General features: G+C 39.3%; 1 long non-coding RNA gene across 2 annotated transcripts in view, besides 1 other annotated feature; it reads left to right on the top strand.

The window, feature by feature from the left end:
• Positions 1-793: 793 nt before the first annotated feature.
• The window catches only part of LOC107987100 (uncharacterized), a 37,965-nt gene continuing 25,528 nt past the window's right edge, over positions 794-13,230 (top strand). Inside the window, exon 1 of one of the 2 annotated variants that reach the window (XR_001746843.2) lies at positions 794-12,660. This is a non-coding gene — a long non-coding RNA (uncharacterized LOC107987100). Of the gene's footprint in view, positions 12,706-13,230 lie in introns of both variants that reach the window. The other variant, XR_001746844.2, reaches the window with a different exon arrangement.
• Positions 5,518-5,687: an enhancer, noted in NCBI's record as "experimental_110244 CRE fragment used in MPRA reporter constructs". NCBI's record gives its function as "activates a minimal promoter by MPRAs in K562 erythroleukemia cells, with activity observed for the introgressed 9:97280880 variant allele {active_cell/tissue: K562}" and the evidence as "EXISTENCE:reporter gene assay evidence [ECO:0000049][PMID:34662402]".

The following is a 13,230-nucleotide window of genomic DNA, read 5'->3' as shown; positions in this document are numbered from 1 at the left end:
GTAGTCCCGGCTACTTAGAAGGCTGAGGAGAAAGGATAGCTTGAGCCCAGGAGGTCAAGGCTGCAGGCAGCCTCATGATCATGCCCACTGTGCTCCAGCCTGGGCAACTGAGACCGTGTCTTTAAAAACCAAACCAAACAAAACAAAAGGCTGGGCATGGTGGCTCATGCCTGTAATCCCAGCATTTTGTGAGGACAAGGCATGCAGAGCACTTGAGGTCAGGAATTCAAGACCAGCCTGGCCAACATGGTGAAACCCCTACTAAAAAATACAAAAATTAGCTGGGTGTGGTGGCGTGCGCCTGTAATCCCAGCTACTTGGGAGGCTGAGGCAGGAGAATTGTTTGAACCCAGGAGGCAGAGGCTTCAGTGAGCCAAGTTTGTGCCACCGCACTCCAGCATGGGTGACAGAGTGAGACTCTGTCTCAAAAAAAAATTATTATTAAACCAAAAACAAGCAGTAAGAAGGATATAACAGGGAGCAGAAATCAATGACTTTGAAAACAGAAAAACAATAGAACATATCAATGATACAAAAAAAGCTGGTTCTTTTTTTTTTTTTTTGAGATGGAGTCTCGCTCTGTTGCCCAGGCTGGAGTGCAGTAGCTGGATCTCAGCTTACTGCAAGCTCTGCCTCCCGGGTTCATGCCATTCTCCTGCCTCAGCCTCCCAAGTAGCTGGGACTACAGGCGCCCACCACCACACTCGGCTAATTTTTTGTATTTTTAGTAGAGACGGGGTTTCACTATGTTAGCCAGGATGGTCTCGATCTCCTGACCTCGTGATCCGCCCACCTTGGCCTCCCAAAGTGCTGGGATTACAGGTGTGAGCCACCGCGCCTGGCCAAAAAGCTGATTCTTTAGTGAAATTGGCAAACCTCTAGAAAAAGACAAAGAGAAGATGCAAAATTACCAGTATCAGGACTGAAAAGAGATATCACAAGAGACCCCATAGTATAGATATACCATCCTCCATGATATGATTATTTCACATTGTATACCTATATCAAAACATCTCATTTATCCCATAAATAGATACACCTAGTATGTACCCACAAAAATTAAAAATTAAAACAGACCCTACAGACATCAAAAGAATAAGGGAATACTACCAAAAACCTTATACATATAAATTTGATAAGACAAAATGGACCAATTCCTCAAAAAGCAAGTTACCACAATTCATGCACTATGAAATAGATAATATGAATAGCCCTGTAACTATTAAAGAAGTTTAATTCATAATAATTCACAATTTTAAGACTTCCAAAAGAGAAATCTCCAGGCCCAGAGGTTTCACTGGAGAATTCTACCAAACACTTAGAGAAGAATTAACACCCAATTTTATACAATCTCCTCCAGAAAACAGAAGAGGAGGAAACACTTCCTAGTTCATTTTATAACCTAGTATTACTCTGATACAAAAACTAGACAAAGATGGTACAAACAGGAAAACTTTTTTCTTTTCAAAGAAAATGATCAGAGATAAAGAGGGGAATTACAAAATGATAAAGGAATCAGTACTCTGTGAAAATAAAATACTAAACGTGTGCACCTAACTATAAAGTGTCAAAATATGTAAGCCAAAAATGGATAGAACTGCAAGATGAATCCACTATTATCACTGCAGACTTTAATATATCCATTTCTCAGAAATGGACAGATGCAGCAGGCAGAAAATCAGAATATAGTTGAAGTTAATAGCACAATTAACAAACTGGATATAACCTGACTCTACAGACTACTTCAACCAAAAATAGCAGACAACATTTCTTTTCAAGCTTACATGGTGCATTCATCAAGACAGACCACATTCTGGGCCATGAAACACACCTTGACAAATGTAAAAGGGAAATCATACAATGTTCTGCTCTCTTACAATAATGGAATTAAACTAGAAATCAGTAACAGAAAGATAGCTGGAAAATCTCAAAACACTTGGAAATTAAACAAAGCACTTTTAAATAATACAGTAGTCGAAGAAATCTCAAGAGAAAGTTAAAAATATTTAGAACTTGAAGTGACACGAGTTTTTAATAAAAAAGAGTAGAGAGAAATATTTGGAACTAAATCAAAATCAAAATGAAGCATCATAAACACCTCATTATATACTGGGATTTATTACTTCAGAGTATTATATAAATTATTTATTTATTTAGAGATGGGGTCTTACTCTGTTGCCCAGGCTGGAGTGCAGTTGTGCAATCATAGCTCACTGCAGCCTTGACCTTCTGGGCTTAAGTGATCCTCCTGCTTCAACCTCCTGAGTAGCTGGGACTACAGGCGTGTGCCACTATGTCCACCTCATTTTTATATTTTTGGTAGAGATGGGCTTTTGCCACATTGTCCAGGCTGGTCTTGAACTCCTGGGCTCAAGTGATCAGCCTGCCTCAGCCTCCCAAAGTGCTAGGATTACAAGTGTGAGCCATCACGCCTAGCCATAAATATAATTTAAATCAAGCCAACATTAAGTATGACAGGGGAGCTCATTATTTGTGTATTAATAACTTTTTTTGAGACGGAGTCTCACTCTGTCACTCTGTCACCCAGGCTGGAGTGCAATGGCGCAATCTCAGCTCACTGCAAGCTCTGCCTCCCAGGTTCACACCATTCTCCTGCCTTAGCCTCCTGAGCAGCTGGGACTACAGGTGCCCACCACCACATCCAACTAATTTTTTATATTTTTAGTAGAGACGGGGTTTCACCGTGTTAGCCAGGATGGTCTCCATCTCCTTACCTCGTGATCCGCCCACCTCGGCCTCCCAAAGTCCTGGGATTACAGGCGTGAGCCGCCATGCCCGGCCAATAATAACTATTATGTATTTTAAAAATGTTTTTCTTCTTATTATTATTTTCTAAATCTTACCGGAAGGATGTATTTTGTTGTTGTTGTTGTTGTTTTGAGACAGAGTCTTGCTCTGTTGCCAGGCTGGAGTGCACCGGCGTGATCTCAGCTCACTGCAACCTCCGCCTCCCGGGTTCAAGCAATTCCCCTGCATCAGCCTCCCAAGTAGCTGGGACTCCAGGTGCCTGCCACCATGCCCAGCTAATTTTTTGTATTTTTAGTAGAGACAGGGTTTCACTGTGTTATCCAGGATGGTCTCGAACTCCTGACCTCAGGTGATCCGCCCGCCTCGGCCTCCCAAAGTGCTGGGATTATAGGCGTGAGCCACCGCACCTGGCCAGGATGTTTTTCAAAATGTGTCAGATTTGAAAGTGATAAAATTTAACTGACATAATACAATTGTTCTGAGAGCCTTACCTATTAATTAAAGGTAAAAATAATTGGAGGAAAAGAAAACTCCAGATCTATATTCATCATAAATACAAAAACAAAAATCTACAACAAAATAATAGTACAAAGAATTCAGCAACATACAGAAATAATTGTATGCCATGACCAAGTGGTGTTTATTCCAGGAATGCAAGGGTGATTTAATATTTGAAAATCAATCAATGTAATCCACCACATTAACAGGCTAAAAAAAATCACAAAAGTATGCGTATTAACTAAATTAGAAAAAGCATTTGACAGAAGGTAATATCCATTGATGATTAAAGCTCTCAGAAACATAGGAATAGAAGGGTACTTTCTCAACTTGATAAAGAACATGTATTTAAAAAATCTGCAGCTAACATTATATTTGACAATGAAAGACTGAATGTTTTCTCCAATGTTTACGGACTGGAAAAATCAACACAATAAAGATGTCAATTCTCTGGAAAAAACCACTTTAAAGTTCATATGGAACCAAAAAAGAGCCCGCATTGCCAAGACAATCCTAAGCAAAAAGAACAAAGCTGGAGACATCACACTACCTGACTTCAAACTATACTACAAGTCTATAGTAACCAAAACAGCATGGTACTGGTACCAAAACAGAGATACAGACCAATGGAACAGAACAGAGCCCTCAGAAATAATACCACACATCTACAGCCATCTGATCTTTGACAAACCTGACAAAAACAAGAAATGGGGAAAGGATTCCCTATTTAATAAATAGTGCTGGGAAAACTGGCTAGCCATATGTAGAAAGCTGAAACTGGATCCCTTCCTTACGCCTTATACAAAAATTAATTCAAGATGGAATAAAGACTGAAATGTTAGACCTAAAACCATAAAAACCCTGGAAGAAAACCTAGGCAATACCATTCAGGACATAGGCATGGGCAAGGACTTCATGACTAAAACACCAAAAGCAATGGCAACGAAAGCCAAAATTGACAAATGGGATCTAATTAAACTAAACTTCTGCACAGCAAAAGAAACTATCATCAGAATGAACAGGGAACCTACAGAATGGGAGAAAATTTTTACAATCTACTCATCTGCCAAAGGGCTCATATCCAGAATCTACAAAGAACTTAAACAAATTTACAAGAAAAAATCAAACAATCCCATCAAAAAGTGGGCAAAGGATATGAACAGACACTTCTCAAAAGAAGACATTTATGCAGCCAACAGACACATGAAAAAATGCTCATCATCACTGGCCATCAGAGAAATGCAAATCAAAACCACAATGAGATACCATCTCACACCAGTCAGAATGGTGATCATTAAAAAATCGAAACAACAGGTGCTGGAGAGGATGTGGAGAAATAGTGACATTTTTACACTGTTGGTGGGACTGTAAACTAGTTCAACCGTTGTGGAAGACAGTGTGGTGATTCCTCAAGGATCTAGAACTAGAAATATCATTTGACCCAGCCATCCCATTACTGGGTGTATACCCAAAGGATTATAAATCATGCTGCTATAAAGACACATGCACACATGTGTTTATTGTGGTACTATTCACAATAGCAAACACTTGGAACCAACCCAAATGTCCAACAACGATAGACTGGATTAAGAAAATGTGGCACATACACACTATGGAATACTATGCAGCCATAAAAAAAGATGAGTTCATGTCCTTTGTAGGGACATGGATGAAGCTGGAAACCATCATTCTCAGAAAACTATCGCAAGGACAAAAAAACCAAACACCGCCTGTTCTCACTTATAGGTGGGAATTGAACAATGAGAACACTTGGACACAGGAAGGGGAACATCACACACTGGGGCCTGTCGTGGGGTGGTGGGAAGGGGGAAGGATAGCATTAGGAGATACAGCTAATGTAAATAACAAGTTAATGGGTGCAGCACACCAACATGGCACATGTATACATGTGTAACAAACCTGCAGGTTGTGCACATGTACCCTAGAACTTAAAGTATAATAAAAAAAAGAAAAAAAGGAAATAAAGGTGTAAACATTGGAAAGATTAAAAAAAAAGTCAATTCTCCTCAAATTGACATACAGGTTTAATGCAACTCCTAGCAAAACCCCTGCCAGTTTTTTTTTTGGCAGATACAGACAATATTATTGTAAAATGTATATGGAAATGCAAAAGAGCCAAAATAATTTCAAAGGAAAGTGGGAAGAATCAGTCTACCCTAATTCAAGACTTACTAAATAATTGCAGTAATTAAGGACTGTGTGTTATTGGTGGAGGCACAGACACATGCATCAGTGGAACAGAACAGAAAACCCAGAAACAGATCCACCACAAATATATCCCCAGCTGATTGTTTTTGCCAAAGGTACAAAAGCGTTTCAATGAAAGAAAGATAGCCTTTTCAACAACTAGTGCTAACACAGTTGCCTATCTGTACACAAAAAAATGAACCTTGATCTAAGTCTCCCACCTAATTCAAAAATTAACTCAAATGAATCATGGACTTAAATGTAAAGTGTAAAACTATAAAACTTTTGAAAAAATATAAGAAAACTTTCAAGATCTAGACCTTGGCAGACTTCTTAGACTTGACATCAAAGACATAATAAGAGGACAAACTGATAATCTGAACTTCGTCAAAATTAAAAAAACTTGCCCTACAAAAGCCCCTGTTAAAAGTATAAAAAGACAAGTTATGAACTGCGAGACAGTATTTGCAAACCACATATCTGACAAAGGACAAGTACCTAGAATACATAAAGAACTCTCAAAACTCAACAGTAAAAAACAATCCAATCAGAAAATTGGCTTAAAAGATGAAGAGACAATTTGCCAAAGAGGATATACAAATAGTGAGTTAAAAGATGAAGAGACAATTTGCCAAAGAGGATATACAAATAGCGAGTAAGTGCATGAAGAGAGGTTCAACGTCATTAGCCATTAGGGAAATACCAATTAAAACCAAAGTAAAATAACACTACGCCCCTATCAATTAAACAAAAAGTTGTGACACCACGAAGTCCTGGCAAAGATGTGGAGAAACTGTATCACTTATGCATCGCTGGTAGGAATTAAAAAGTTTGGCAGTTTCTTAGAAAACTAAACCTGCAATTACTTAATGAGCCAGCAATTCCATTCCTGGCACTTTTTTTGGAGAAATAAAGATGTATGTTCACACACAAACCTGTACATAAATGTTTATAGCAACTTCATTCATAAAAGCCCAAAACTGGAAACAATCCAGATGTCCTTCAAAGTGTGAATGTTTAAACAAACGGTGGTATATCACACTGTGGAATATTAACTAGCAATAAAAAAAAAATCAAATTATTGATATGTACAACAACCTGGAGGAATCTCCAGAGAATTATGCTGAGTAAAAAAAGCCATGCTCAAAAGTTCATACAGTAGGAATTCATTTATGTACCATTTTGTTTTTTTGGGTTTTTTTTTTTTTTTTTTTTTTTTGACAGACTGTGTTGCTCTGTTACCCAGGCTGGAGTGCAGTGATGCAATCTCGGCTCACTGCAACCTCTGCCTCCTGGGTTCAAGCTATTCCCCTCCCACAGCCTCCCAAGTAGCTGGGACTACAGGTGCCGGACAACACACCGGGCTAATTTTTGTATTTTTAGTGGAGATGGGATTTCACCATGTTGGCCAGACTGGTTTTGAACTCATGACCAAGTGACCCTACCCGCCTTGGCCTCTAAAAGTGCTGGGATTACAGGCATGAGCCAGCCTGGCCAACACGATGAAACCTCATCTCTACTAAAAATACAAAAATTAGCCAGGAGTGGTGGCGCATGCCTATAGTATCAGCTACTCAGTAGGCTGAGGCACAAGAATCGCTTGAACCCCTGAGGTAGAGGGTGCAGTGAGCTGAGACTGCGCCACTGCACTCCAGCCTGGGCGACATCCTCACAAGCATTCAGTGTTGTCAGTGTTCTGGATTTTTACCTTTTTTTTTTTTTTTTTTTTTTTGAAATGAGAGTTTCAGTCTGTTGCCCAGGCTGGAGTCCAGTGGCACGATCTCGGCTCATGGCAACCTCCACCTCCCAGGTTCAAGCGATTCTCCTGCTTCAGCCTCCCAAGTAGCTGGTATCAGATGCATGCACCACCATGTCCGGCTAATTTTTGTATTTTTAGTAGAGACGGGCTTTTGCCATGTTGGCCAGGCTGGTCTCAAACTCCCAACCTCAGGTGATCCACCTGCCTCGGCCTGCCAAAGTGCTGGGATTACAGGTGTGAGCCACCACACCCGGCAGATTTTAAGCTATTCTAATAGGTGTAGTAGTTGTTTTAACTGGTAATTCCCTAATGACATATCATGTTGCACATCTTTTCATATGCTTATTTGTCATCTGAATATCTTCTTTGGAGAAATATCTATTCAAATCCTTCACCTGTTTTTAAATTACATTGCCTTTTTACTATTGAGTTGTAAGAGTTCTTATAAGTATTCTGGACACTAGACTGTTATATAAATGACTTGCAAGTATTTTTTCCCATTCTGAGAGCTGCCTTCACTTTCTTTCTTTTATTTTTTTAAAGAGACAGGGTCTTGCTATGTTGCCCAGGCTGGACCCAAACTCCTGGGCTCAAGTAGTCTTCCCACTTTAGCCTACCAAGTAGCTGGGATTGCAGGAATGATTACTCCAGCTGTCTGTTCTTTAATTTTCATGCCACTGCACCTCAGCAGCTTTTTTCACTGTCTTGAGTGTTCTTTAAAGCACAAATGCTTTTAATTCAGTAAAGTTCAAGTGTTTTTTTTTTTTTTTTTTGGTTGCTTGGGCTTCTGGGACAATGTTGAAGAAATCACTGCCTAATTCAATGTCATGAAAATTTACACCTGTGTTTCCTTCTAAGCATTTCATAGTTTCAGCTCTTTAATTTAGGTTTTCAATCCTTTTAAATATATATATATATATTGCTGGGAAGTGAAGCCTCTCTCTAGAAGGCAGAAACAGGTACTTTCTTTTGATCCATTTTTAGTTAATTTTGTACACTGTGTACCATAGGGGTTCATTCTTATGCATGAGGATATCCAGTTGTCCCAGCAGTATTTGTTGAAAAAACTATTATTTTCCCGTTGAATGGTCTTGGCATCTTTGTCAATATCTAAACTATTAATTATATAAATATATGTGTGTACTTTGGTCATGATATATTTCTTACTGTTTAAGACACTGTGCCAAAAAAAATCTTGTAAAGGATCCTGTATAAAATGTGTGAAGACCTTCAGGCAATAGAAAGGACCACTTCAGATGCAGAGAGATAGACTTACTAAAGCTACTATAGTAATCTAGTCAAAAGATAATTGTGGCCTAGATAAAGGCAGTAGTCACCAAAAAATACACAGACTTTAGCAATACTGAAGAGCTAAAAATCAGCAAGATTTGTGATTGATTGGATGTGAGAAATGGAGAGAGTGTTATCAAGGATGACTGTCAGCTTTCTGAATAGATGGATGATATTATTTACTGGGAGAAGCAACTTAGTTAAGCTACACTTAAGTCTTATGCAGTGCATACTAATGACTTTTCAGGGTACTATTTTCTACCTCCTAAAGGTAGAAAAGTGCCTCCAATTTCTTTGTTAGGCAGAATGCTACATTTTTTCCTTATCTTTCTTCCTTTGGGCTAAGGAAAAATTAAGAAAGTATATGACTCCTGTAGATGCTTTGTCTGAAAACAGTGCCCATGAGGTATGCACTTACATCTAACTTCTGCCTTCCTCTCTCCCTCAGGGATGGCTCTGCCTCCTAAACGACAGAGATATGGTAACCAAAAACTCTGAACTTCTTCAACTTTCTGCTTCCACTTACAAAATGGCTTGTATTCTCATTCCCATTCTTTCTTCATGAATTAACGGACAGGGTTCTGTCTTTCTTCCCATTCAAGTTCTCTCTTGGTTTTCTGGATCCCACCCATCTTGCATCCTCAGGGACAAAGCTGTGCTAATAATACCCTTTCTTACCTATATCTTCCTCTGTCATTTAAGCAGCTCACCCTGTTGTGGCAGGCCAGGTTGCACTAACGCAGGCCTCCATTACAACATTTTCAGCACTGACTGAGTGGTTAAGTTAAATATTAAAAGCTAAAAAAGCCAGTGCCCTTCTACAAAGGCTGGAATATAACAAAAGCCCATGGATAGTTTTGCCTAGGCCTTTCCTGGGCCTTAAGGCATGACAAAATAACGGAATTCTTAACAGGACTCATTTAGGATTAAACAAGTTTTATTGGGGGTGTGAAGAAATGCCACAGGCCTCAACTCTTTTCCTTCCCAGTTCATATTGCATCTCGTTATTGGGCCATGAGAAATAGCAGCCCGACCCTCAGTTTGGTCCAGGAACACTATGAACTTCTCAGTCTTTCCCAATTTTATTGAAACTGTTCTCAGGGTCAACAATGACCTCAAGCCAGGTGCAGTGGCTTGCAACTGTAATCTTAGCTAATCTGGATGCTGAGGTGGGAGGATCTCCAGGCCAAGAATTCAAGACCGGCCTGGGCAACACAGAGAAACCCTGTCTCTAAAAAAAAATTGTAAACAATTAGCTGGCCACCATGATGACATGGGCCTCTAGTCCCAACTACTGGATAGGCTGAGGCAGGAGGATTCCTTAAGTCCAGAAGTTCGAAGCTACAGTAAGCTATGATCACACCACTGCACTTCAGCCTAGGCAACTGAGTAAGATCCTGTCTCTTAAAACAAACAAAAAAATAATGACATCTATATTTTAAAATCCTTATACCTCTTTGAACTCTCAACAGTGAAGGTAGTGTCAACAATTTTCATTGTTTTAGTAGCACCTCTACCATTAATTTTCAAATTTGATTCCATTTTCTAATTTTCTCTCAGACTGTTAGAAAAGAGGTAATAATGCTACTACTAAAGCAGCTTTAATTTTGTTTGATATGTAGGGGTTGTATAAAAGATTTCATTTAAAAACCGTATTTCTGCCAGGTATGGTGGCTCATGCCTATAATCCCAGCACTTTGGGAGGCCAAGGCAGGAGGCTTGCTTGAGCCCAGGAGTTTGAGACTAGCCTCTTCTTATTAGAAGAAGAAAACAAATGTGGGATATGATGAGGTTTCTCTTAAAATAATCTGATCAATCTTTTATTCTTTAATTCATAGTACCCCCCAGCTTTTCTCCTTTATCTTTTTTCCTTTTTGCCTTTGTTAGATGCCCAGGCACGCCACAGTACCAGCTCACATTCCTTTCCTTATTTGGAAAGAGGACTAACTTTCTAGCTCATTACAGACACCCCTTCCCCTTCCTCTCCACTTTCTTTTACATGCTCACCTTATCTAAAAAAATCAAATGTTTAGCCAAAACCGGGATTAGTTTAGATTGTACGACCCGACCCTGGCCAATGGGGAAAGGGTACGGGGCAGGACTTGCATCAGGAATAAAGGCCCTCGTGCCCCTTTGTTCAGGTGTGCTTTCATGGTGACTGGCCAAGGAGGCACCCCTCTGCGAAGAAGTAAAATTGCTTTGCTAAGAATCCTTTGTTCGAGTGTTTAATTTCCTTAGGATTTTGAGTGTTATTCCTAACACAAATAGTATCAGGGATTTTTGTCCTAATTATTATCATGTCTCAGGGCCTCAAACATTTACTGAGGCCAGGTGAGGTGGCTCACGCCTATAATCCCAGCACTTTGGGAGGCCGAGGTGGGCGGATCATTTGAACCCAGGAGTTTGTGAACAACCTGGGCAACATGACAAAACCCTGTCTCTACTAAAAATACAAAAAATTAGCCAGGGATGATGGCACGTGCCTGTAGTCCCAGCTAATCAGGAGGCTGAGGTGGGAGAATTGCTTGGGCCTGGCAAGTCCAGGATGTAGGACTGCCACTGCACTCCAGCCCGGGCTACAGGAGTGAGACTCTATCTCAAAACAAACAAACAACAAAAGTATTTATTGAATGAATGAATGGAGTTGGTATAAATAATGGACAGCTAACTATAAAAGATTCAAATAATAAGTATATTTTACTTCAGCATAAAATGTCAGCATTTTCTTAAGCTGTAATCTCAGTGTTCATTTTATTTTAATAAACAATTCATATCCTATTCTCACAGCTGTCTTACGCAGTGTCCTCCATTAATGCCAGAGTGATTTGAGACAGTACTTGATTCTGGGTGTGAGAACCAGTCATTGCTTCATTCTGAAAATAACTAACAGATTCTAATTAGAAGACTAGATTCTCTGCAACTCCTAATACTTTCTGTAATTCCTCTGATATATATTTAAAATGTTTCAACTATGAGAGGCTGACAAGACATTCACTTAAAGTGGTGAAATACATAAACCTTTAAAATGACTAGACTGAGCCTTGAAGTGAAATCTATTTTCTGCCCTAAGTGTTTCCATTGTGTACAATTCCCTCGGAATGGTAGGCAGCTGCCATTTAGAACTCTGTGATGAATAAAGAAAAATCTATATGGAAACAGAAATACTATAGAAATATTATACTCTCCAGGCAAAGAAAAGTGGGTGATTGAGGCAAATGCACCGATAATTTGGGGTCAGGGAGAACACTTGTCTGAATTACACAGAAAATGTTTTCATAACCTTCAACTTTTTAATCACAGAAACATGCACTAATATGCAAAACAAGTGTGACAGAATCATGGGATAAAAGTATTTACTTGAAAGGTCTAAAATATCATCAAAGTCTACCATCTACCCAATATTTTAATTCATATCATACAATTCCTATCAGGAGGTTACCTAATGATGAGGACGTCACTGCCTCTTACGGAGCATATTTCATCTTTGGGCAGCTCTGATTATTCTTTAAATCTTTCACTGAACACCAGATGGCCATCTGAAGTGCTGTGATACCATACTTTAAAAAAAATTGTTCAAGGACACAAAGTTGATTTGAGAGAAGTTAATGAAATTACTACTCTCAGAGCTTCTGCTGAAAAGCACATTTTCATTTCTGGCCAATCTACAGCTTTCTAAAGGGAGTCACTTGAGAAAATGTCTTAAGGCAAAAAAAAAAAAAAAAAAAAAAAATCCCATGGGAGGAATAAATGTATGTGTCTTCTATAAAAAAAGTTTCCATCGTTGTTACTTTGTGGTCACCTTGACAAGAACAGTAACCACAAGCATTCATTTCATTCTTTACATAATTTTATTAACTTCAGGCATGATGTATATAAGCTGCAACTATCTATTTAAGCAGATCTCCAAAAATAAAAAATAACACATATACCCTTTCACCCAGAAATTCCACTTCCTGGGATTCATTCTTTCTATTTAAATAAACCTGACCTTGAGTTAACTCTCTAGTTCTGTTCCCCTGGAAACCTAATAAAGGTGAATGTCGACTGTGTTACCAGGTAACAGTACCTAAGAAAAAAAGACCTCCTGATATGCCTCTAAACTTGGGACGACTGCAAATCAACATGAATACCTGTTGGTAAGCCACAGTTTGGATTTGGACTCCCCTGTGTGCAGTCTATGCGTATGTCCCCTATGGGATCTGGAATTTAGATCTATGAAACTGTTAAAAAAGATATTGGTTCCTATTTGGGACATGATCTTTCTAAGCCAGGCTGGTTCTCCCATCTGTCTACTGCGGTCTTGTGCTCTGGTACTTGAGCTGCACAGGAAGGGAGAGAGGCACAGATGACAGCCCCTCCACTGCTATGTGGAGCACATGAGCAATGCCTGGCTCTACTCTGCTGGCATGCTGTGTGTTCCTTCTAACATCCGTCTCTAAGGGAATCTATCCTCAATATGGCCTGATTAGGTCCTGTGGGTTTGACTGCTTAGTTGAATCTAAAAGCAGCAACTGAAGCCCCACCCTGGGAAGGCAAGGTATCACAGATATGAATAAGTTGCTCATTACATTTTCTAAAATACAAAATTTAAGACATAGTTGTTCATTAACACAGAACTGACATGCTACATTCATATAGAAAAAAATAAGTAGATCCAAGTATACAGTTTATTTTGTGAAAGGATGTGTTTCTGCGATGTGATTGAG

Source organism: Homo sapiens, chromosome 9 (genome assembly GCF_000001405.40).
Source record: "Homo sapiens chromosome 9, GRCh38.p14 Primary Assembly".
Classification (NCBI taxonomy): Eukaryota; Metazoa; Chordata; class Mammalia; order Primates; family Hominidae; genus Homo; species Homo sapiens.
Note: the sequence above shows the minus strand (reverse complement) of the source record. Positions and strands in the feature narration are given on the sequence as shown.